This window comes from Homo sapiens, chromosome 2 (genome assembly GCF_000001405.40).
Source record: "Homo sapiens chromosome 2, GRCh38.p14 Primary Assembly".
Taxonomy (NCBI): domain Eukaryota; kingdom Metazoa; phylum Chordata; class Mammalia; order Primates; family Hominidae; genus Homo; species Homo sapiens.
Genome location: NC_000002.12, coordinates 62,771,561 through 62,798,753, shown reverse-complemented (window position 1 = coordinate 62,798,753; position 27,193 = coordinate 62,771,561). Strand labels below are relative to the sequence as shown.

The 27,193-nt window shown below is 35.3% G+C and overlaps 1 protein-coding gene across 52 annotated transcripts in view, besides 1 other annotated feature; it reads right to left on the bottom strand.

The window, feature by feature from the left end:
• EHBP1 (EH domain binding protein 1) overlaps nucleotides 1-27,193 on the bottom strand; it is a 372,610-nt gene that overhangs the window by 247,734 nt on the left and 97,683 nt on the right. The gene's annotated exons all lie outside the window — the stretch shown is intronic.
• Nucleotides 13,392-13,461: an enhancer, noted in NCBI's record as "active region_15872". NCBI's record gives its function as "activates an Ori minimal core promoter by ATAC-STARR-seq in GM12878 lymphoblastoid cells {active_cell/tissue: GM12878}" and the evidence as "EXISTENCE:reporter gene assay evidence [ECO:0000049][PMID:35858748]".

Here is a 27,193-nt window from a genome sequence, read left to right as displayed (position 1 = left end):
GGATTACAGGCTTGAGCCACCGCTCCCGGCCTTCCTATAGCATGAATTTCTATAACTCTAGCTACTGCTTAAGTCAGATAAAAAAAACACAAATTACAATGACAATTTACCATGTGTCTGGCGCTGTTCTAAGCACATGTTAATGCACAAAAATTCTATGAAATAGGTGTATTATTATCTTCATTTTATAGATACGTAAATTGAGGTAAAAGCCAAGTTCATCGACTTTCTCAGAATCACACAGGTAGGAAATGTCCAGAGCCTACACTCTTAAACCACCACAACTAGTATACTAGTCTCTAAAGAGGCAGACAACTGACTGTATCTAACAGTCTACAGGAAAAGAGAATTGAGATTTCTACAGATATTTCTTTCTTTTTTTTTTTTTGACGGAGTCTCACTCTGTCACCCAGGCTGGAGTGCTGTGGCGTAACCCCAGCTCACTGCAACCTCTGCCCCTTGGGTTCAAGCGATTCTCGTGCTTCAGCCTCCCGAGCAGTTGGGATTAAAGGCATGCGCCACCACTCTCAGCTAATTTTTGTATTTTTAGTAGAGACGGGGGTTTCACCACAATTGCCAGGTTAGTCTCAAACTCCTGACGTTAAGTGATCCGCCTCCCTCGGCCTCCCAACGTGCTAGGATTACAGGCGTGAGCCACCACACCCGGCCTTTATTTTTCTGTGAAACAAAAATTATCTTTCAATTCTACTTATATTTCCTTCCCTATTTCCATATATTCCAGATATGCCTTATTTTAAAAAATGATCTATTTTCACTCCATTTGATCTTACAGCACTTAGAAAGTTAATGGCCATTTTTATCATTTGTTTAGTTACCTAGTTTGATACTCTTGTTTATTTGATCTGCATTGACACCTTGTTAAATAGTTAAGGCTGGTACTATTACCCCTGTTTACAGATGAAGAAGGAAACTTAGACCCAGAAAGTTTAAACATGCTGTAAGTTTATCAAGGCATAGATAGCTATAGGAATTCAAATCCTATCAACAGTTCTACTACTGTTTTCATTTACAGTTTTGTATTTTTGTTTTTTGTTTTTTAAAAAAGATAGATGCAGGCCCAAAAGAGCTCATGCCTGGGTATCCTCCATCCACAATTAACAGGCAAAAGTTTGCCTATTAAGTAAAAAAGGTTGTGTTGAAGTGTACAATGAACTTGGCTCTTCACATACTATAGCAGTACACTTGATTGGCGTATTTTTATTTATTCATTAACACAGTAGCAAAGATAAGTACACTAACAGGTAGTATCTTTGAGAACTAAAGCCTTAAATAGACTTTTACTTGGAGAACATTATCTAGCAAGGGTTATTTCAGGTTAACTATTGATAAAAATTTCATTTCAGTTCCTTTTGCTTTTCTGCAATTATTACCACTCTATGGGAGTAGCTTTCTGCCAATCAACTGGTGCCCGTGGGGCTGGGATGTGTCTAGTGTGGCATCCAGTATGCTGTTGGTGCTCAAATTATAATACAAGCAACAACTACCACCAGGTTGCTGCACGCAAAGTAATCTGACACAAAAGCCATGCATAGCTAAGAGTCAGAACTGTAAGCAGTATTTGAACATTTAAAAAACAAACAAACAGAAATTTGTATTTGATGTCTACATGTTCATATTTTACCAGTCAGGATATGTTCACAGGATAGGACAAAAAAGAAATAATTTAGTAAGGTTTTCCCAAATGCTTGTCTCTTTATAACAACAGAATAGGATCCTTTCATAGGGCTCCAAAGTTTCACGGGAGCTAGGGAAGATAAAACCACTGTACTTTTATTCATTGGGTTTTAAAACAGTGTATATGTGTGTGTGTTTCCAGAGAGGGGGCCTACGGAGGAGGGAGAACTTAGGAGACAAAGAAAAAGATCTGCCTCTGTTTGGTCTTAGAAATTTAAAAAAAAAAAAAAAAGTCAGAAGTCATGGAAAGAGGTGTTTAAGATAAAAATTTAAACTTCATTAAACCATTAATGAACAACACACAATCCACAGGCTTTATTTATAGGGTTTTTGAGAGAATCCAGTACCATTAAATACATGGAAGTGTTTTGTAAATGGTATATGCTATGGAAGTCAAAGTATTAAGCTGCATTGGAACTTTGAATAAAACAGGATGCATTCATGATTAAAATTTTACATTTTAAAATCTTAACAATCAAAATTACGTTTTATGTGTGGAAAGAATTAAGACACAGTAAAACTTTTAGAGTGTATTTCTTGCATTCTTAAAAAGTATCCATGTATATGGTTAAATGAAAAAAGGAAGGTATAAAACATTACTAGTCAGCTCTTATTGTGTATTAAAAGGTGACCTATTTGATGATAACCTAGTCATCTTGATCCACAATCTAATACCCCTATTTTGAAGGCAGAAATTCTGACTTAACCATAGAGGTGCAATCAATTTTGTCAGTAACATAAATTAACAAAGGTAATTCATAAAATGCTGAAAAGGAAGACTTAGGCAGTGTCACACAGTTTTATGCATATTTCTAGGCAGAGTCCCAAACAAGCTCTGTAAAAAGGACTGAAGTCAGTACAGGAATCTCTAGAAGTAACTGATGTATTCTAGTAAAAGTAAAGTCCTAAAATTAAATGCCAAGCTCCATTTTTATCCTGATTACCATTTTAAATTGGAATTATCTCCTAGCAAAAGATGGTGGGCAAGGACAAATTATATTAAAGAGGTTTATTAGGAAAAGAATAGAAAGGACCAGCTGAACCAAGCAGAAGGGGCAGAAGGGCAGAAAAGTCTGACATTACAAAATTTATTATTTCTCTTCATATTAAAGAGTTCTGTGAGAACAATGTTACAATCTTAGAGCATAAAATCAAGTCCAATTTATACTATGATTGCCTTTTCAGTTTTTTAAAGTCAAAAATTTTTTCTTCAGGCTATTATCTATTAAGGAAGGGCAGGAAATCCAGGAACACTGACCCACAGGGGGAAAATTAAAACAAAACAAAATACAATTACTTTGGGCTATACATGTTTTTTAAAATGCATTTTGTATATTTTTAAAAGGAAAAGTATACAAGTTCCCTAACTTTAATCTATGATTTATTCAATTTTAATACAAAAAGAGGCAAATATTATTAACAAGGGAAAAAATGGAAAGGAATCAGAGAGCAAGCATAGACAGTGAAGAGCATGAGAGTAAAGCCAGTTTTAGAGGTAGTGTGAACAGTGGTGGGTACAGTGGAACTATACTGTACTGATGCCTTAAGAACCTTATGGAGAAAGGAGTTGGACTGAGGGAATAAGCAGAGAATACCTACTTAAATTTCTGAAATGCTCCCAGCCACCCATGTACAATCTGAATAGGAGATTCAATAAATGTTGCCTAAGTTGATAAATCATGAAATAATTATGAAATATAGTACAATCATATTATTAATATATAAAACTAGAACCATGGATGAAACCACTGAAGAACTAGAATCTGAAGCAATTAAGAGACTACCACAATGGGGTAGGATGGAGGGAGGAAGGAAGAGGCAGGAGAATGTTAATTTTCCTTACGAGTTCTTCCATACTGTTGGATTTGTTACCATGTGCCTGTATTGATTTTTTAAAAATAACTTTTATGCTCATAAATTAAAAGAGGCTTGACCTGTGCTAAAAAGTTCCTTTTTTTTTCTTTTGCTAATTCCATCAAAAGATTCATGTCAAAAACAGATTTGATTTTTTTTTTCTGTGTATACACACATTAGTTACGAATGATTAACAAAGCATTCATTCTTCTATTTGGTTTGGCTGAGAACCAACTTGTGTTAGTGTTAAGGAAATATTTCACTTTATATGGAGAAGATATGAAGTGTTACTTATTTAAATACACACGTGGTAAAAGAAAGGGTTTATACATGTTTTAGGCTCACAAACAATAAAAACATTTAAGTAGTTTGAAGTGTAGAGTTTTTCCACCTTTTTAGAAACTAGAAAAATGCTGAATACCTTTCTCTCTTTATCCAAAAATAGGCTTTGTGACTTATCTGTTTAGTATTTTAATTTCAGTAAGATGATAAAAAGTTTAAAGAAGATTCAATAGTAAATATGGTATAAGCAAACATGATTATTTTATCTAATTTTTAAATATAGAGACTTTTTTAAAAAACATAAATTTTGAGCAATCAGAATAAAAAGTTATATTGCAAAAGGAGTTCCTCAAATTTAGGGTATTTGAAAGTAGTACCCAAATTTAATCTGACACATAGTCACTTAAAGTGTTTTTACTTTTCACATGTACAATGATTAAAAACAATATTCAGTTTGAAGAAAAGTTTACTTAATATATGAATACATAAGAAGAGTTAGTGAGAAATGTAAAATGCTGTCTATTCTATCTTTTCATAATTTTTATAAAATCACTTTTCTAAATAAAACTATTTATCAAGCTACCAAGAAATACTAGTTGTAGCAATTTTGTTTCTCACAACACCTATTTTGATTTAAGGGTGCAGGCAGTCAAAACCAGGAATATAATTTAACCATATTGTGACTGACTTTTGAGTAGATTTTCACTAATCATGTCCACCAACACAGAGTGGAGTGAAGAAAAATAAAGATTTATAGGGGAAAATGCTGTGGATTATTTAGAAACCAGCCACTAAAGAAAAGAGAAGAAAAGGCTGGATTTGAAGTCAGTTCTCAGCTCTCTGTTTTATTCTTAAATTGCGAAGACAACAACTTATAAAGAAAGAGTTAAACAAAGGATGGAAATTAGGAGAGCAAAGATAAGAAATACTGGCCACATATGATCTGGACATTCTAAGACTTGTGTACAAAACTATATCAAGTAAGACTTCAAATCCAGGCCTTAACTTCACAGATAGTTCCTCTGACATAAAAACAGATTCCTTTTCCTCTTATTTTTCCTCCTTCTTAACACATGTTTGGCAACCATTGTTTATTTCTATTGGAGTTAAATTATACCTCTCTTGTATTTTTCCCCATTGGAGAATAAAGACACTTAGTGTTTTCCATTTCTCTTTTCTTTATTTCGTAGATCATATGCAGCATAGAGCTATTATTTACAAAATAAGAATCACTGCCAATTTAGACTTATTCTTTTTAATATCCTGAAAGGTAATAAGACCATTCCACCAAATTAAATTGAGCAATCCCAGGTGGTTCCCTTCAACTTTATTTCATTTTTACCACACACACCCCTAGTCATCACTTTCATTTTATATGATCTACTTGTTGACATATATGCACTGAAATCTACTTCCAAACTCAACGCTGAACCTAGTCACAAAAACTGTCCTTGAATCAACATGACCATTGCAAAAGACTGGGTGAATGATGGGTTTTGTATAATAATCCAAAGCCCTATAGATTTTCACTAGTTCAAGCTGTCTCTGGAGTAAATTCCAAAGTGAGAGTCACTGCAGCGGAAATGGAGGTCCCCTCAAAGCTCACACCTGCAAAGCAGTTTTGTGAGTGGTTGAAAAAAAGTCAATCATTGTGGATATGTTTAGTTAATAAACACATTGATCTTTTATACCTATCCAAAAATATCAGTTCTAAAAGCACTCATATGACCTAGGCATAAGGCATCTTTTAAAATAAGAAATGTAATAACATTAATGAATTTATGAACTTAATCTACCCTAAATGCAAACAAATAGCACCCTAAAAAAATTATACAACATGTATATGTTCGAAAGAAAAATGCTAAATTAAAATCAATTTATTGATATGATGGAATTATAGATAATTTTCCTTTTTAATATACGTAGCATTGTCATTATGTTGGCTGTGTAATAAATATTAAAATTTTTAAAGATACACTAAGTGCTAATAAAAAATAAGTCTAAAGAACAAAAAAAAAACCTATCAATTTTATTTGCATACTATTCCTGACATCTAATTCACAGAATCTGTTACAATAGATGTCTTCTTCAGTCATAAAACTAATAACACTGTAGGTAAGCAGCACTTAAATATCTCACTCTAAGTATACTGAGAGTGAAATCAATTGGATACACACCCATTTATTGGGGTATTTATAAACACATAGCATCTTGCTGGGTATTGTTTGAGTGTACAAAAAGACACACCCTTTCAAACTTTAAGTAGCAGCCTAAAATTAGCAGAGAGATACAAGACTATCACATGAAAAATTAAATAGCTGAGTAAGGTCAAATTTTTTAAAAATCCATAAATATAGTATATAAATAAGTGATGAGTTCGTTTATCAAACATCATTGAGGATCTACTATTTGTAAAGCATTCTTCTAAGTGCAGAAATCAATTATGTAGTTAGATTTCTGCCATTCCAAAACTAAACAAAAAAGACAAGATGTTTTGAAAACGAGAATATGAACCACTAATACATCTGACTCTGGGCTCACTGCCTAGGAGTTAGCCCTGCTCCACAAGAAGCAGCTATTTAAAAAGAAGAGAAAAGAAAGGCACTAATATATCTGGACTGTAGAACATTACTGGCTTAGAGGGGGAGATCTCATGTTATAGTACCATCATTCTGTAGCTCACATAACTGGAAATACATTCCCTACTATTTAAATTGGCTTAGACAGCAGCATATGTAGTACTTTAATTAACTGTATCAACTGACATACCTTAAAAGTAGATGCAGAGGTCTGAAATAACTGTAAGTAGTACTTGTAAACCAATATTAATCCAAGTTTAACCTATATATAACAAAGTGTCTAATGTTGTATCTGGATGGCAAGAAGGCTGAGTATAACACAACTGTATTCAGAAATTCTGAAACACTTTATGAGCAAACTTCTAATTAATTAGCGATATGAAGAGAACAAGTATTGCTGCTGAGTGTTATTTTTTGGCCAGGATGGAAATTTATACATTAACATTAAAAATAACCCTGTTTTAAAGCAATCTCTAGATATCTAAACTACCATTATAAATATTACTAAATAACATTTGGGCAGTATTCTTGACTAAATTATATTGCTACACTTCCTTATTTTACTAATTTGTAAATATAAAACTATATATTGTAATCATTCTATAAAGAAAACTTAAAGTAGCCTCTTACAGGTATTTAAAACATCATTAAAATTTTTCTCTTGGAAAGTTTAATCAAACTTTGTTACCTAACAAACTTGACATCATAACCTATTTTTTATTTTTAAAACTTTTAACGTCAGATATTTTTCACTCGATTACAGAATTTAAAACTTTATAATAACCATCTTTTAAAATGAAACTAAAATGTTCTTATATTATTCAAAAATGTATTTTCCAAAAATATTAGCAAAGTGTATGATTAAGTGGGATTTTAGATTTTAAAATGTAGCTAGTATATGCAGCACATGATCTGAAGCAGGGAATCACATGCATTGAACTTAAATGAATAAGCCAGATATGGCTGCTGGCTGTTTTGGTCTTATTTTCTTTAAATACTATCAAATTATCTACCTCAGTAAAACTGATGTTTATCTTAAAAACCTTTCATTACAAATGGTTTTTTTCTTTAAAAAATTCAATTTTTCTAGAACTATTTGAAGAAGCATAAAAAGCAAACATTTAAAAGCATGTTATCACATACATGTACTACTTAAAGTTGGTATATAGAACCTCAGTCTGGGAGTGAAGAAAATGAATGAAAATGAATAGTTTACCACTCATTAGCAATATGACTTTGGGCTAGTTACCAGATGATATCTTAGTTTCCTTATCTGAAAATGAGCAAGGAGAATTTTATGATTTCTAAGTTTTCTTCTAGCTCTAAATTTCTGTGATTTGATTATTTTAATCCAGAAACCCACATCTATATTGGGAAACTAGGTTTTAAGGTTATGGAATAACATAATAGTGAGTTATAACTTAAAACAACAAAAATATTACAACACTAATTTGAAATAGATTAACTGCCTGAAAGCAATGCTTTCAAGATAAAACACAAGAGACAATAATTGAATAGGGTTGTACTCATTTAATAATGGTATAAACACTAACATCTACAAAACAGGATATTTCATTGATGGGTACCTCTTGTGGAAATAGTCAACTTGTCTGCAAAGCCAAAATCTATAAAGTAACAAGAGAATTACACAAAAATATTTTAGACCTTACTTTTCAAATGGAGTTCTGTTATACCGTGTATAACTTACATGTAGAAACGAAAATTATTTAAAATTAATGATTACTAAAGTTACAACACAACAAGTGTTTATAGGAGTAGAGCCTTATTTCTTTTAATAATACATAATCCTTATATAAAGTAACACTATTTTCTGTAAAGCTGTGCAGTTCTCTAAATGTTTAATGTTTAAACATGCCACCAACAAGCATCTGACTAATAAAATGCAACTTCAAATAAAGGGAAACAATTTACTTCCTATTATTATCTGATACAGGTACTGCTGGAATTCAATTTCCTTTCAAATGTGTGCTTTTTTCAAAGAACATCCAACCACCCACACATTATTTAAAAAACAAAACAAAACAAACAACAAAAAACCTTTGTGTTAGAAATTGTCCCAGAACTGTATTTTGACGTTTTTAGCAACCTGACAAACCACTCTGTTTGCTTTCTTCTGCCAATACAAATCAAGCCAAGGACTAGTTTCTTCATTTATTTCATTCAATGTCACAAGACGACATTATGTCAGGGTAAAGGTCAATCATCAAGAATGCATGCTGCTGCTACAGTGGAAATATAAATATTCACCTGGGCTTTATTTCAAAGACTGGCTCACTGAAACTATTTAATAAGGCCTATAAAACTAGGAGGATGTGGAAAAACAATGTGTAAGAAACATTTTTCTCAACAAATTATATTCGCTGACATCATATAGAAAACTAAAGGTGCTACTTCAAAAACAAGTAAGTTTTAGGTAACTGGCATCAGAAAGGGGTTTTTCCTAGTTGTTTTAACAATCTCATGTTTTTTAAAATTTGCAGGAGTGCTACCCTGCAGGCATCTGTGACAGCATCACGAGGTTTCATATTTAGTGTGGGTGGTTGGATAAAATTGGACATTGATCAGTTTTGTGTGTGCTGAAAGGCACCAGGCTGGAACACTGTATTCAGCATTGGGTATGAGACTGCCAGTGCAGTGGGTTGGAAGATGTATGCATTGGCACTCCGTGTGGAACCAGGAGCTTACTTAAAAGGTTACTGAAATCTTGACTTTGGCAGCTGTCATCTTTAAGTGATCATGAATAGTTAAGAATTAAATCCAGAGCCAGACCTCTGAAGATCAGAGGTTGTGCACGTTTGAGGCACTAACCGTCCTTTATAACATTCTGTCCTCAGAAACAGAAAGCAGGGAGTAGGCCTTTTGGTGGGTGGGTGGGTGGAGAAGTGTTACATAGTTGAGAAAGTCACATTTTTAAAACACTCAGCTAAACTTAACTCTATCAACTTTCTAGGTGGCATTTAAATTAAAACGTCAGCAGATGTAATTACGTAAATAGATGAAGCAACTTTGTAATATTTTACCAAGTTAGGAATTCCAAGGTCTTTTTCTACTACATATATATGTGTTTGTGTCTTCCTAATGTACATTCTGAACCCTTTGCCTCCAAAAACAATTTGAAATGGCTATGCAGTCTCACAGAGCACTCTTATTAATGGCAACAGCCAAAAGACTACTCCATACTATCTGTTCTTGATGACTGGGTATTATAAAGGGCCAGCAATATCTCAAACATGCACAACTTCTAGTCTCCATAGGTGTGACTCTGGATCTAAGGTTTAACTCTTCATGATCACTAAAAGAAGACAGCTGCCAAAGACAAGACATTTTCACAGGACATATGCTTTTCACAGTGACTCCTCTCATGTTCCCTACCACCAGTAAATCAAATATTTTTCCCACCAGAGCTAAAATATGGTAACACAGAATTATTCATGCACAGATGAGTGGCGTTTCATAGATTTGTGCTACAGCATCTAATACATCTAACAGGGTCACAGCATGCCTTCAACATCTGCAATTAGTAATGAAGGTACTGGAATGGTATGATCTATTAGGTGTAAATTAAATATAGGTTTCTGTTAAAGATCAAGCTTATTGGCAAACCTTCAGAAACAGGTAAGAAGAATATAAAAACAAAATTAAGTAAAATAATTTCTTAGTAATAACAGAAAATAATTGCTTTTCTTAAGTGAAAGGAGGCAAAAAAAGCCTCTTATAAATTAGTATGATAAAGTTTAAAGGAAAAATATATAGTTAAACTGGAATTTCAAGCTTCTAGATTCCAGAAACAGGGTTATTTTAAGTTTCCTAATTTTCTAGAAAATAACAACAGGGTTTTTTTTTTGGTACACAGGAAAAGTCCATAACATGAGTATTACTCAGAGTGACAGATTAATAGACATATGCAATACCCACCCCTCCACCTATACTATCAAAGTTTAGTTCTTTTAATTGGAAGAATTTGGTTTTAAGGGAAAAAACATCACAACACATACGAATTATGACTCCACTCCCTAGTGGGCAGAAGTTGGGTGATTTAAATAAGAGAAAACATACAAATATTTTATATTGGAATAGGAAAGACCACATAAACCTTTAAATATATAACATTTCATCAGCTAGCATATTTTTAAGCAATGTTAGAAAAAATTACAGAATTATTGTATAATTACAAAAACATCATTTGTCTATGAAAGAAAACAATTCTAAACCACTTAATTTAAAAGAGGCATTCTTTAAAAATCCCTTTTCCTGGCATTAAAAATAAACTGTCACTGAGAAAAAGAAAAAAATTCTCCCAAAGCCTTCTATCTAAAACACAATTCATATTTTGATGTAAAGAAACCATCCTACTCCATTCCCCCAAATCACAACCTTAAAGAGTTGCTACTTAAATATTAGCCAGTGCTCTGTGAACCATTTTATATTAAAATTGGATAGTTCTAAACACCACACATATAAAAAGTATTGTTTGACACAGTGCCATTTTGATGATAAATTGCAATCTATAGCTCAAATAATTCTACCCAGGGATTAACATTTCAGAGGCTGAGCCAGAGATTATGTGTGTGGATCTTGAATTTCATCATCTCCCTTTGGCACAATAGCTTATTCTTCCTTTTTTCATCTATTCTTTCATGAAGGGTCAGGAAAGCTTAGCCTTGCTATTGCATTCATTTCATCTCTACATTAACCAGATACCTTGCAGTCTTTAGTTCTTATGTGTTATTCCATTACAACTACTATGCTGCACTGTGCTATGGCTAATGAGGTTTGTACCAAATCAAAGGGTGCCATCAAGTGGTTATAATACTCTAAACAGCATTACACTAAATGACTATTCCAGATAGGCTTTCTTCAATATAGACAAACTTGCCACGCCTCTATGAAAGAACACATTAATGGAGCAAGGGGGTGGGGGGGGGGGGCAGCGGTGCAGTGTGGGGTGGTGCAGGAGGGGCAACAGGAGTATCCATATTAATTGTTGTTTTGTATTTTCTATCCTCAGGGATTTCTTTTCCTGCATAGTATATTTATAAAATATAACTTTAGAACCATTGTTAAAATTAGTATTTATGTCAGCAGATTATCAAATGATATTTATTAAGTATAATTCAAGCACGGCAGCAGAACTGGGAACTAAACTTTATCAGTCAAAAATCATGACTATACTGATAGGAGCTTATTTCTGAAAATAAGCAATAATAGTGCACATACTTAAAGAAAGACAGCGTCTTGTCAGATTCATTTCCTATTGCTAATGAAAACTTGCAAGGCTATGAAATACAGCCAGTAATATTTGGTTTATGTCATACAGCCATGCCTGCGGTCTAACAAGGAACATAGCAGTTAAAGTGAGAACGTATTTTCAGTTATTTAAAACTTTCAGCAGTCTACTCAACAGGCTACAGGGGTCCCTTAGAGTTTTGAAGACAGGAATCAAGAACTGCTCTTAGAAAACACACAAGATAACATGCAATTCAAAATTGCCCACTCTGCAGAGCTGGCCAAACTGCTGCTGCCTGCAACTGTCCTGTACCAGTGAAACCTAACACATAGGCTTAAAGCATCTTCATAACTATATACTTAATTCTGCTGCGGAGAAAGCAAATTATCCAAGTTCAGAAATTAAACAAGATGTGAAAAATTAAATCATAAAAGCTAACTTAATCTTTAAGATTCAAGGTGCAGTACGAACACAGTAGCAAACTCCAGGCAAAACTAAAAATCTGTATGATGACATTGATATATTTTCTACATAGCTATTGCAGATTGCCTACAAAAATATTTCTCATCCCACATTTTCTTCTAGAGCCTTACCACTTCCCAATCAAGAGGTAGAGTCTAATTCCCCTCCCCTTTGAACCACGGCAGGTTTGTGATTGGCTTACAGCTAACATAAAATGATGAAGTAACACTATGTGGCAAGGCTAGGTCAAGAAGGTGATGCAACTTACACTGGGAGAGCTAGAATAGTCATTCTTGAAGTCTTTAGCTGCCATGAAAGTAATCCAACTGCCTTGAAAAAAATCCACACTAACCCACTGAAAGAGAGGAAATGGAGAGGCCTTGATACCACATGAAATGCCAGGGTCCATCTCATGGGCTCCAGTCCTTCCTCCCCTCATGTTCTACCCCAACCACCTCAGACTACAACTGCATGAGAGATTTCAAAGCCAGAACTGCCCAGCCAAACCCTAATATGACTATAATCTGATCTATTTAACTGAATCACAAGTGGCAGAAAATTATCAAGTTCCAGCAAGCATTGCTGCACTGCTTATAACAATGTTTAGTTGGTTACATACGGGAATGCAGTAGACAACTAATGCCCACAAAGCTGGAAATACAAAATGGAACAACACGCAGAAAGGTCAGAAAAATGAGATCACTACCTCTGATGGATGAGGAAAGGATGATGTGGTTCAGAAAGAAAAAAAAAAGTTTCGTAAGTTTCATTTGGGCAAGGAGTTATATATGTCCTGGAAAAGACTGGAATGGTATTACAGTAGTTTACAGCATAAGCAGAAAGTTTAAAAATATTTTAGGGCAATCCACATAAAAACACTAGAAACCAATGTAAGAAAAAGTAGGTTGTATAAGAAAGGTGAAGGAGAATACAGGGCCTTAAAATATATATTTTAATAAGAAAAAGAAAATAAAATTTAAAGGAATCTCACTTGGAAAAAAATCACTGATATATCCAACTGCCTTCTGGATATCTTTCCCCCGCCACAACCCACTCCTACCAATTCTTCCTTTGTGTTCTCTATACTGACTAAGAGCAAATTATCTAAACATTCAAACTAGAAATCTGGAAGTCACCCTACACTCTCTGACCTCCCTTAGCCCTTGAAATGAGTCACTAAGAAGTGATTCCACTACCTTCTACACACTTCTGAATCTTTTTCGCCTCTTCTCTGTCTGCACCTGCTAAGGCCACTGTCCCAGTTCACGCCCATGACATCTGTTACTTGGATAACTGAATCAGTTGCCTATCTGATCTCAAGTCCTTCAGTTTTGCACATTTCAATTCATTCTCTATAGAAATATCTTTTTTAAACTGTGGGTTATGATCCATTAGTGGATGGTGAATTCATTTTAATGGGTTGCAAAGTCAATTAAGCGGTTTGCAAACAGCATTCTAAAACATCAGGATAGAACAGAAAATACCACAGTACATCCCACAATACTTGTAAGAGTAAGACTTGTTTCAGTTGTTCACAGGTACATATATGTGTATACTAGATCATAATATAAAATGTATTTCTTACAGCTACAGTAAAAAAAAGTTTGAAAGGTAAAAACTGATTATTTAAAAATACAAATCTGACCATATTATCACTCTGCTTAAAACTTTTCCATGCTTCCTGATAGCTTACTGGAATGATGAATCAGAATCATAGAGGGTCCAGTGGGCAAATCTATATGTTTTCATAGTCCAGAAGTGATTCTCATAGGCAGCCAAGTTTGGGATCCACAGGCTGCTAGGATAAAGTTCAAATTCCTCGGTATGGCACACAAGGCCATCCATAGTCTTACCCAAGATGAGTAAGGGCTCATGTTGATAGCTTCAACCCCTAGTACTCTCCTCACTTTGGGTATAAAGCTGTAACAATTTTATCTCTGTGCCTTTACCAAGGCTATTCCCTCTGTGCTTACCTCAGACCCCATTCTCTTCACACAATTATCTGGTGAGTGAACTTTTAAAAGTCTTTCAAGTTCATGTGGCAACTGCTCCATAAAGCCTTTCCCATGCCCCTGATAGATATGAGTACTCCTGGACGTCTTCAAGGGGCCTGCCACCTGCCTCTTTAGCATCCTCACTATATTTCGATGATTTGCTTACAGATCTGCCTCTCTGACTAGATTGAGAACTACATGCAGGTGAAACTTTGTCTTATTCATATCCCCAATGTTAGGAAGTAAATGTATAACCAATATCACAGTACCCAGGATAATGAAATCCAAAAAACAATCATTCTGTGACCCAAATTAAGTAGAACAATGGTCTCCTTTATAAAAAAATTCAATCTTTCTCTTCTTCAGTTTGAAAAGAAAAAATGTGATTTTGGAAAATATCAAAAGAGGTAGGAAACATATATTGTTAATTGCTTTGGCTGAAAAGATTTAATATAAAGTAAATACATCATGATTTTTAGTGATTTAATTAGTAGTTTTATATCCATTTCATGTCATTTGACCACTTTTCTAAATTTTTCCTAATTTTAAGGGTAAAGGGGAAATTCTTCAAAGTTATTAAGGCTGATTTATTTCTAAATTCATCCTGCCCCAGAGATCTGTGGAACTTTGAACTTGAAAGAGATGATTTAGGGTATCCAGCAGAGGAAATTTCTAAGCAGCAAAGCATTCAGGAGGAAGCAGAGCAAAACATTTGGAAAATTTACAGCCTGACAATGTGATAAAAAAGAAAACCCCATTTTCTGGGCAGAAATTCAAGCCAACTGCAGAAATTTGCATAAGTAATGAGGAGACTAATGTTAGTCACCAAGACAATGGGGAAAATGTCCCCAGTTCATGTCAGAGACCTTCACAGCAGCCCCTCCCATCACAGGCCAGGAGGCCTGGAAGGGAAAAATGGTTTCCTGAGCCAGGTCCAGGGCTCCCCTGCTGTGTGCAGCCTTGGGACTTGGTGCCCTGTGTCCCAGCCACTTGAGCAAGGGCTAAAAGGGGCCAACATACAGCTTAAGCCATTGCTTCAGAGGGTGCAAGCCCCAAGCCTTGGCAGCTTCTACGTGGTGTTGGGCCTGTGAATGCACAGAAGTCAAGAACTCAGGATTAGAAACCTCCACCTAGATTTCAGAGGATGTATACAAAGGCCTGGATGTCCAGATAGAAGTTTGCTGCAGGGGCAGAGCCCTCATGGGGAAACTCTGCTAGGGCTGTGTGGAAGGGAAGTGTCAGGTTGGAGCCCCTACACAGAGTCCCCACTGGGGCACTGCCTAGTGGAGCTGTGAGAAGAGGTCCACCATCTTTCAGACTCCAGAATGGTAGATCCACTGAGAGGTTGCACTGTGCACCTGGAAAAGCCACAGACACTAAATGACAGCCCGTGAAAGCAGCCAGGAGGGGGGCTGTACCCTGCAGAGCCACAGAGGTGGAGCTGCCCAAGTCTGTGAGTGCCACCTCTTGCATCAGCGTGACCTAGCTGTGAGATATGGCATCAAAGGAGATCATTTTGGAACTTTAAGGTTTAATGACTGCCCTGTTGGATTTTGGACTTGCATATGGCCTGTATCCCCTTTGTTTTGGTCAATTTCTCCCATTAGGAATGGGTGTATTTACCCAACGCCCACACCCCCATTGTATCTGAGAAGTAACTAACTTGCTTTTAATTTTACAGGCTCATAGGTGGAAGGGACTTGCCTTGTCTCGGATAAAACTTTGGACTTAGACTTTTGGTTAATGCTGGAATGAGTTAAGACTTTGGGGGACTGTTGGGAAGGCATGATTTTGTTTTGAAACGTGAAGACATGAGATATGGGAGGGGCCAGGGACTGAATGATATGGTTTGGCTGTGTCCCCACCCAAATCTTATCTTGAATTGTAATAATCTCCACACGTCAAGGGTAGGACCAGGTGGAGATAACTGAATTATGGGGGCAGTTTCCCCCATACTGTTCTTATGAGTTCTCAGGAGATCTGATGGTTTTACAAGGGGCTTACCCCCTTTGCTTGGCATTCATTCTGTCTCCTGCTACCCTGTGAAGAGGTGCCTTCCACTATGACTGTAAGTTTCCTGAGGCCTCCCCAGCCATACGGAACTGTGGGTCAATTAAACCTCTTTTCTTTATATTATAAATTACCCAGTCTCAGGTATGTCTTTATTAGCAGTGTGAGAACAAACCAATACAACTACTACTAGTTTTATCCGAGAAAAAAACTTACAATACAGAAAGATAGAAACTGTCAGATACCTCTAGGAATACACATAGCCATGTCTGAAAAGCTACACTTAAAACATTGTTGATAATTTCAGTCCATATTAACTGGTCTATCTCTAATCTCTATTGTACTTTTCAGCTATCATTATACATTTACCATAGTACATATCACCTTACTCTTGTCTCACACGCGTATCCCTCAAACCAAAATTAATATCTGAGTGGAGGTGTTCTCTTGTATCCTCCATAGTAGTTAATATAGCACTAGGCTCTAAATCTAGTGCCTAGGACAATAAATGTTTGATGATTGAGTGAGTGAGTAAATGGTAAAATGCATGGGTTTCAGAGTTTGAAGACATGGGTTTGAGGCCAGGCTAAGCTGCTTTCTGTGTGTTCTTGGGCGTGTCACTTAATCTCACTGAGTAAAATTATAATAACATCCACTTTAGAAATGCTTCATAAAGATGAAATATCCCATTTTATTTGAAAATGCTTTGTTTTCTCTAACAAAACATATCAAGTATCATTTATGATTTATGAAGTTATTAACTGATCAGCTGATATAGCTTATTTTTATTTTAAGAGGCAGGTGAAGCAAGATCTTAAAGTTAACATCACACTGGCCTAAGTAATTTTAGAAAGAAAAGTAACTTAACATATGGTTAAGTTATTATAACCCTAGAAAAATCAACCACTCTTTAAAAAGTGAAATATAAAAGAAAGTAATCTAGTGAACGACATGCTGTTGCACAAAGAAGCCTCTCTTGCCTCCAGACCTCTGCTCAAGCTGCTCCAGCCACCTGAATCACCCTACAAATCCAATGCAGACAACTATCAAAAGTACTTAATCTCCTATCTGAAATCTCTCATTTGGATTTTAGGAAGGAAATACAATGCCTTTACCATATATATACTACAGCACACTCCCAGTGAAGTCTGAGGCAGTCTGACTAAATAATCAAACATATTATTTTTGCAGCAAAATGAATAAACATTTACACTAAGTGGAATAAATACCACGAATAGCTTCATTTTGGGTAAGGTCAGGTTTTGCCACCAAATGAATTTGAATCAAATTTCCAAAAAAATAAAAAATTATAAACATCTTAGGTAGAGATTTTGGATTTTGAAGTTACAGAAAAAGGATTGTAAAAACTTTACTTTTTAGGGTTTCAATTTATATATCACTTTCAATAGAAAGCCTCCCCTAACCCACCAAGACTGCATTAAGTACTCTTTATATGGGAACATAAAACATCCTAAACTTAATCTTCATAGTGGTTGCCTGTTTCCCCACTCCAGACTGTAGGATACTGGAAGTCAGAGACCACACCTTTTTCACCATTACACTCTCAGTATGTAGCAAGTATCTGTCACATGATATCTATTTATTAAATACTGGTTGGATAAATAAGCAATTATGAGTAATAAGTAATCATGTGAATTTTTATACTATTGCAGTACTTGATCTGTAATGTATGATCAATGTCAATAAAGACGAATAATCTCCAAATACTGAACAGGGACAAAACTCAGAAAAACAGAACCAGAAAACAAGAACACTGTAATAGTATGAAAACAGTACTCTGTTGCTAAAAAATGGAACTTTCCCTTAAAATGTGTTAGCTAGGACATTTCACAAATTAAACTGCTATGTGAAATAAATTATCTGGCATGTAATTTTTATTCACTATTTTAACATAGAGTTTCTTGCATTACACAAAGATAAATACAGTATAGTTGACAGGCTCAAAGCATGCATGATCATTCTTAGGCATACCTCTTTTTTTAAGTGCAACAAAAGTTTCTCCATTATTTTATTTAAAGTTAAAGGATCATTTGAGAATAAAGGAGATGGGATTTTTCCTCTAGAAGCACAATCTGAAAAATTTCTGAATTAGAACAGCACATTAAATACTTAACATTAAGGGAAACTAAGGAGGAGAGATATATATATATGAAATTTCTCTGAAATGCAACCAAAGTAAGATTTAGTTAGCTAAAAATTTTTCATTTAGCTCCTAGTCATATCTATTATACCCCGCCTAATTTACAGACAGCCAGTCATCATTCCCATAATCATATACAACAGAAAGTTGACAGGATAATTAAAAGACTAAAAAAGCCTGTCTGAACCATGAGCTTCCTCCTGTTAATTCAGGAGTTTAATTCTGAGGGGGTTATAAGAGAAGCTTTGTTGCTTCTTATATAGTCAATTTTTTTTTCTTTGTAGAAACAAGAATAATATCACTTTTTAAGAATCAAGATAATATTGAATGTGCAGCCTAACAGGTCAGAGAGATCATCTAAAAGGCAGTTAAGTTAAAAAAAAATTATTTGCTGGTAGGTCACCTTTTCTGACATGCCAGTAACTCTTAACCACGTTCTTAAGCTGATGATGTTCAAGTGGACTTCATTATTTATAGAAGAAATGATATAATATCTGAAATGTACTTTAAATCTGGTAAAGCAAACAACAGAAAAGTAGAAGAATTGATGAAATAAGTTTGAAAAAAATACTGAAGATTATTGAGCCGGGAGACGTGTACTTAGAGGTTTAGTATATTATTTCTTCTATTTTTGTGCATATTTGAAAAATAACCAAAAAAGTTAAGTTGAAACTAAAAATAAAACACTGGATCTTGATTAGATTTATCCAAATTGCTACATTTGTATGAAAGACAAGATGAGCAGGGGTCCTCTATACATTGCTTTCAAATTTCCGAAATATTTAGAAATCCAAAAGGGTTTAAGACTCTGGGACTGTAAGAAAAGAACATGGTTGAGAAGTTTATACCAAAAGAATGGCCTAAAAGAGATCTAACAATACAGGGATCTTTGATTTATCATTCAAATGTATTCTGGTTAGTGCTGTGTAGAACAATACTCTCTGAGCAAGTAGCCATAAGCACATGAATTTTCTTGCCATTCAGCAAGAGTGAGAGAATTCACTTTCTTCCTTGACGAAACTGCAGTCAATAGGGTAAGGAAAGGACTGGTTTCCCTCCACACAAAGTTGAATGAACTACAGGAAAAATAAAAGTTTACTGTATATATAAATAGTATATAATACTAACAAATACAGATAAATGGGCATTACTGACTAAACCATTCTTAATTATTGGATTAATAGAAGAACAAAAAGTGGAGTATGCTGCCTAGTGGAAATTTGATTAGGTTCAAGTAAGTTAACTGGGCCACATTTCCAGAGGGGGTGGAACATTAAATGGAATGCTATAAACAGGACTATACTAAGGTAAATGCTGCCGTACCCTAAAAAGGCTGAGCCATCTCTACTGATAGTTAGATTATAAACTGACTCCATGGTGGAAGAGGGGTACTGCTAATGTTTGCGATGTGGTATTCTCATATGCACTAGACACTCTTTAGACCTTTGGAAATGTATTCTTGAAATGCTTGGGGCTGAAAAGATAATCCCAGTTTGGAGCTACAGGAGAAAGTGCAAGCTACAGTTTCTGAAAAAGATATCCAGTCTTTCCCCAGACATTGAAGTGAGATGCCTTGATTGAGGTGACACAGAAAAAAAAACAACTAAAGGAGAGAAGCAGCATTTATATACTTTTTTTCTCTGAAAGAAAAAGTAGAAGTAATTTATCAGAATTGTTATTTTGCGAGATCAAGAGATTGACTTCATTTTGGAGAAGGATTTAAACTTAAATTTAATAAGGTCAGAAACATTGTGATTTTATATTGTTTACATTGTATTATTTGAGCTATTATATCATCTCTGTTCTTGGTATAATCTTGTCAGGTGAGTTTGGTTGGGCAAGTAATCCTGTTCAACATAATCCAACAAAAGAAACAAAGCAGAGAAGCATTTACACTACTGCCTTGGATTTTTTTTTTTTTTTTTTTGACAGGGTCTCACTCTGTCGCCCAGGCTGGAGTACAGTGGCGCAATGAGAGCTCATTACAGTCTCAACCTCCCAGGCTCAACCAATCCTCTTGCCTCAGCCTCCCAAGTAGTTGGGTCTACAAGCATGCATCACCATAGCCCAGCTATTTTTTGACATTTTGTAGAGAAAAGGTCTCACTATATTATATTGCCCATGGTGGTCTTGAACTCCTGAGCTCAAGCAATACTTCCACCTCGGGCTCCCAAAGTGTTAAGATTCAGGCGTGTGCTACCAGGTCCAGCCATCTGCCTTGGAATTAACATAATTAATTTAGCCCATCGCCATTCACTTAAAAGTCTTCCGGAGGTAACATCAAACAAACAGCAATAAAAAAGGGACTAGTGGAGCCCTGGAGGAGCCGAACTTCCTATCTCATGGGTCACAGTCAGAAATAGTGGGAAAGACTGCATAGTGAATAGGTAGCACCAAGAAAACACATTTTGATACCCCACTGATCTTCACGGAGGACGAAGAACCAAGTTAATCTTATGCCTATTATTACATTCATTGGGTTAACAGTTACAAAACAAAAAGCAGATGTCTATTAATCTTTAATGGGGGAGCTCATGTTTTCTGTTGGTTTTGTTTTTCCTCTTTCAGTTACTTTTGCTATTTCTTTCCGCTACTTAGAATGCCTTTTTTGCCTAACTTCCTTTTTCCTTCAAGACTAAACTCTGTAGCCACTTCCTCCAGGAATTATTCCAACTCTGCCCTCCATTACTGTCCTGTAGTACCCTACGAACATTTTTATGTTTTTCCTTGCAGTTCTTTACCTCTCTGACACTTCACTACTTTATAAGCTTCTTGAGGACAGGTTATCTTATGTCATCAAATATAAGTTATCATTGGTTTAAAGATTATTTTATATAGCAGTCATTATTTTATATAGCAGTAAGAAAGCAAAACAAACAAACAAACAAAAAACTACCAGTTATAACTGTGGGACATCCTAGATATAAGATGATCCCAATTTCACAGAAAAAAATGTGGGAGAAAAAACCATGAATCTCAGAATCAAAATTCTGCATGTCTTAACTGACTTTGTATCTTCAATAACCACCAAATGTCTGGGCATATAGAAAATCCATATTAAAATATTGCAGAATGGTTGAATAAATTAATGAATGGATTCAATCTGATTGGTGCCTTTCATCAATATGCTTTTAATGTATTAAAATAAAACAGTGGAATCAGAAAAATAAATTTTTTTAGATTTTAAAAACCAACACCAGCTGGGTGTGGTAGCTCATGCCTGTAATCTCAACACTCTGGGAGGCCGAGGTGGGAGTACTGCTTGAGCTCAGCGGTTCAAAACAGCCTAGTCAACAAAGGGAGACTCCGTCTCTACAAAATAGAAAATTAGCAAGGTATAATGGTGTGCACCTGTAGTCTCAGCTACTGGGGAGGCTGAGGCAGGACGATCGCTTGAGCCCAGGAGTTCAAGGTTGCAGTGAGCCATGATCACAACACTGCACTCTAGCCTGGGTGACAGAGCAAGACCTTGTCTCAAATGTAAAAACAAGAAACTAAAACCTATGGATATAATTTACAAATGTAATGGTTCTGGATTTAATTGGGTAATCTAAAACACCAGGAAGAGAAAAAAAATTTTGTTTCCTAAATATAACTGTTGTGGCTTCATATTTTTAAAAAACCCTACAATGTCAACTGTCTGGATGAACAGATGTTATTCTATTACAGTAGATAAAAATGAAACATAGTGTTTTATAGTATCCATTCTTATCTACACTAATAAGTAAATGGATTGTAAATGATCCAAAAGAAATACTTGTTGTTAATCCTAGATTAAATTTATAAGGGGAAGATATCCTAAATCAAAAGATAAAAAGAAAAATATTTTAAGTTTAGTCCAAGTGAGATGTTACAAGTTGCCTTGTCATTGCTTTGAGATAACAGTAAAGTCTAGAAATCATTGAGAGGTGTAAGTGGTAGAAAGGAATGGAAAAACTAAAATCCTGCAACAATAAAATTTAGAAATCTAGTTTTCTTTCCTTTATATTCTTCTGTGTCCTCTAGAAAGGAACATTATAAAAATAGCTACTCCTTACCAAGCTAGATGCTTTACATACATTATTTCCAATCTTCAATAACCTGTGGAGTAGATATTAATACCATCATTTTATACATGACTACATGGAAGCTGTGAAATATTAAATGACTTATCTAAGGTTGCATAGCCAGTAAGTGGCAGAACCACCTCTAAAATTTCAACTCTAAAGTTTCTGGTCCAAAGAAGAAAGCTCAGACAAAACGGAGAAATCAGAAACAAGAGAACCAATAAAATGAAAATAGCATTATGTCAATTTGCACAAAGAAGCAGTAAGGTTGCCTTGAGAAAAAATATTAAGAATTCTAGTGACTGATAAATTCTAGAATTCCATTTTATAATGTCTAACAGTAGTGAAATAATTAACCCAAATAACTTCTAAACTGTATATAAACAATAATTAAAGACTACCTTCACTAATCTGATACATATATTCTTCACAGACTTACCACTACAGAAGACTGATTAAAAGCTTCCCTATGATTCTACAATTTCAAATGATCTCTTTTCATCTTTCTTATTAAGGTAGCTAGTTATTGCAGTAGGGGTTAAGGGCAAAGGCCCTGGAGAAAGACAAGACTGGATAAAATCCCAACCTGTTAGCTATATAACTGTGGGCAAGTTACTTAACCTCTCTAAACCTCACTTTCTTTACCTGTAAAATAGGGTTATATCTGACTCACACCAGAGTTATTATAATGAGCAAATGAGATAATGTGTATAAAGCATTCTATTATACATAGTACCTGGTACATAGTAAGGGTCCAATAAATTTGTTACAGTGATATATATTTGGAGACTTCTGTTTTATTGGGATATTTTATATTAAATATAACTTCACTCTTTGTTACTAATGCTACTACTGGACATTACGGTTAAAGTCTCAACATTTCTTTATTAACTGTGGGGTTGTAACACAATGTGCAAAGAAAAGAAAGGTATTACAATTCCATTCAAAGAGCATACCTTTTCAGTGTCAGGACAATATACCAACAGAATTTCTAACAAAACCGAGGTTTTACAAGACAAAGAGAAGAACTTTAGCTCTTTGAAATTCACTAATTCTTTTGCATGAAATGTGAAAGCACATTAAAATGTAAGGGAAAGTATAACATTGTAACATGTTATTGCTACATAATGATCAGCAAAAGTCAATTTCATCATTCACCACTGAGGGGAGCTATAACCTAGGAGAGGTTTATATATAGAATGCCAAGGTTATTTTAAAACTTTCCCATACCTTACAATATTCATTTCATCAACTCTCTTATTAAAATATATTTTAAATAAATTTGACAAGCATACCCCAATTCTCTTTTGGAGACTTTAGAAATAATAAGGTGGCTCATTATAACTATGTAATCATAAAGACGGGGGATCCTTATCCCTCTTCCTTTTTTCTCCATAGAGCATTTATGTAACCTACTATATATATTTAGCATACATTATGTATTTATTTTATCTAACATACTAAATCTTTCATACAGTAATTTTTATCCTCTCTCTCACACACACACATATGAGTGTAAACTACACAGCGATGAGATTTGTTAACTTGTTATCTGGTTTTTTTTGTTTTGTTTTGTTTGAGACAGGGTTTCACTTAGTCATCCAGGCTGGAGTGCAGTGTCACGATCACAGCTCACTGCAGCCTTGACCTTCTGGGCTCAAGCAATCCTCCCACCTCAGCCTCCTGAACAGTCAGGACCACAAGCATATGCCACCACGTCCAGTTAATTTTTTTTATTTTTTTGTAGACTGAGTCTCCTTTGTGTTGCCCAGGCTGGTCTTGAATCATATGTTTTATACACCACCATTTCCAATGCCTAGAACAGTATCTAGCACATAATACACGCTCAATGAATACTTAAGTGCTGAATGAATGAATACTGAATCATCTATTTAAAAGGTTAAAAATCTCTCATTAGATTATGTCAAGTAAAGCAAACTGCTAATACTTGAAAAATGCAACGTCTACTTATATCAAATTTTGGTTTAAAGAAAATGTCTAAGAACATTTCTTTCTTCCTTTCTTTTCTCTCTTTTTTTTTTTTTTCTTTTTGAGACAGAGTCTTGCTCTGTCGCTCAGGCTGGAGTGCAGTAGCACGATCTTGGCTCACTGCAACCTCTGCCTCCCAGGTTTAAGTGATTTTTCAGCCTCAGCCTCCTGAGTAGCTGGGATTACAGTCATGCACCACCATACCTGGCTAATTTTTGTATTTTTAGTAGAGACGCTGTTTCACCATGTTGGCCAGAATGGTCTCCAACTCCTGACCTCAAGTGATCCACCCGCCTTGGCCTCCCAAAGTGCTGGGATTACAGGTGTGAGAGACTATGCCCAGCCTAAGAATATTTAATCCCACAGATGGTAATACAGACAAATCTCATGAGATTGGCTTATGCAAGTTCAATAAAGTTGATCAGAAGAGCTCCTACTGTAACAGCATATGGATCCTTCACATGCTGTTTTACTGCCTCTAGGGTCTACTTTTCAAATTTTCTTCTGTATAGTTGATGGATGTTACTCACGTTATTCTTCTCTCTCTCTTTTTTTTTTTTTTTTTTTTTTTTTTTTTTTTTTTGAGATGGAGTCTTGCTGTATCACCTAGGTTGGAGTGCAGTGGCGCGATCTCGGCTCACTGCAACCTCCATCTCCCTGGTTCAAGCAATTCTCCTGCCTCAGTCTCCCGAGTAGCTGGGATTACAGGCGCACGCCACCAAGCCCAACTAATTGTTTTGTATTTTTAGTAAAGATGGGGTTTCACCATGTTGGCCAGACTGGGCTCGAACTCCCGACCTCAGGCAATCTGCCTGCCTTGGCCTCTCAAAGTGCTGGGATTACAGGTATTTTTCTCTTAAAAAGAATAATCCTTACAGGATTTATAACAGTTCACAGAGTTTAACTATACCATTCATTCACTCACTCCTTCAATAAATATTTATTGAGAAGCTACTACCCCAAAGGTAGTATGGTTTGAAAAAAAAATTGTGGTAGATACAGAGATGAATGAAATAAAACTTTTCCCTCGTTAAATCTACTTATGCAAGTAGGGGTCCTGTACACATCTCAGAAAACTGGCCTAGATTTTCCAGAGCAGGTAAAAAGAGTTAATACACCTAGACAGAGAAAAAAAAATTATTCTCAAATCTCACTATACAGGAGTTGATATTGGCAGAAAGAAATTAATGTCCTCCTGAAAACTGAAGAGGGAGATCTACCCCATTCTCGTCTATCTTCCAGGTGAGAATATAGCACTTCCTTTGTTTTGTTTGTCTCGTTTCGGTTTAATTACATAAACTCATCCTTTTGATATAGTTCATAATTTATGACAGTTGCCCTAATTTAGAGTATATAAATTAGTGTATTCTCTTGAGTTAATGTATTTCAAATGCTTTGGTCATAACATGTACATCTGTGCTCTTTCCCATGCATTAAGAATATAGCAATTTCACAATCCTTCTGAAATCTCATAACTTCATAATATGAAAGTAAATCTATAATGGACCTGATCTCACTACCAAACTTCTCAGCTCTTTAGTCCTAAACATGGCCCAGTTACTGCCAGGGAATAAACAAAAAATTCCTTTTGTCACTGAGATACATACCAAAGTCAGGCATAGAAAGGAAGAATATTACACAAAGCATGTGATAAGCCTGTTATAAAGACATTTTAGAACTTTAACAATTATCACGATGAACAGTCATGATGATGATGGCAATGGTAAAAGCTAATATTCACTGAAAATTATTTAATCTTCAAGCAACCCTATAATTGTATGACTGAGAATTTAAGAAATTTCCCAGTGATCACAGAGCTTGTAAGTAGAAGAGACAGGACTTGAAATCAGGTTTACCTGACTCCTGTCATCTGTATTATTTTCATTAGATTTCTGTGAATCTAATATATTAATAAATGTTTGGAGAGAAGGAATGTTAACATATTTTCCATTTCATCCTATGTCCACTCCCTTATTTGACAGATTTTCCAAGAATTCCAAGCCTACATTATTAATCACTATATTTGGATGGGCTGTCTTCTTTAATTCCCAGTAAATGAACATTTATTGAATACCTACTATATGCCTTCTAGTCACTTGGGATTCCACAACATGTAAATTAACTTAAGATGATTATTAAGGTACCAATCTAGGATCTCTCAACCCAAATAAACAGTTAAAGCCCCGCCCTTCCTTCCTTCCTTCTCTTTCTCTCCTTCTCTCTTTCTTCCTCCCTCCCTCCCTCCCTTCCTCCTTTCCCCCTTCCTCCCTTTCTCTCTTTCTCTCTTTTTCTTTCCTTCTTTCTCTCTCTTGCTCTCTTTCTTTCTTGATGGAGTTTCACTCTTGTCACCCAGGCTGGAGTGAAATGGCACAATCTCGGCTCACTGCAACCTCTGCCTCCCGGGTTCCAGCGATTCTCCTGCCTCAGCCTCCCAAGTAGCTGGGACTACAGATGCCCGCCATGACGCCCAGCTATTTTCTGTATTTTTAGTAGAGACAGGGTTTCACCACTTTGGCCAGGCCGGTCACAAACTCCTGATCTCAGGTGATCTGCCTACCTCAGCCTCCCAAAGTGCTGGGATACAGGCATGAGCCACCACACCCAGCCCACATACTTTATTTTTAAAGATTTCAAAGGTCATTCATGGTTCCATCCAACACATGTTTAGATGAGTATCTGCTATGTGATAAGCACTATGCTAGATGCTGACAGATAAAAAGATGAGTAAGACATGGGCTTGCCCTTAAACCCCAAACAGAATATATATATATATTTTTTATATATATAATACACATATACACACGCATACATACAAACATACATACAATTTAGTATTGAAGACTTACAGTGTTAATAAAAGCATTTCTTACAAA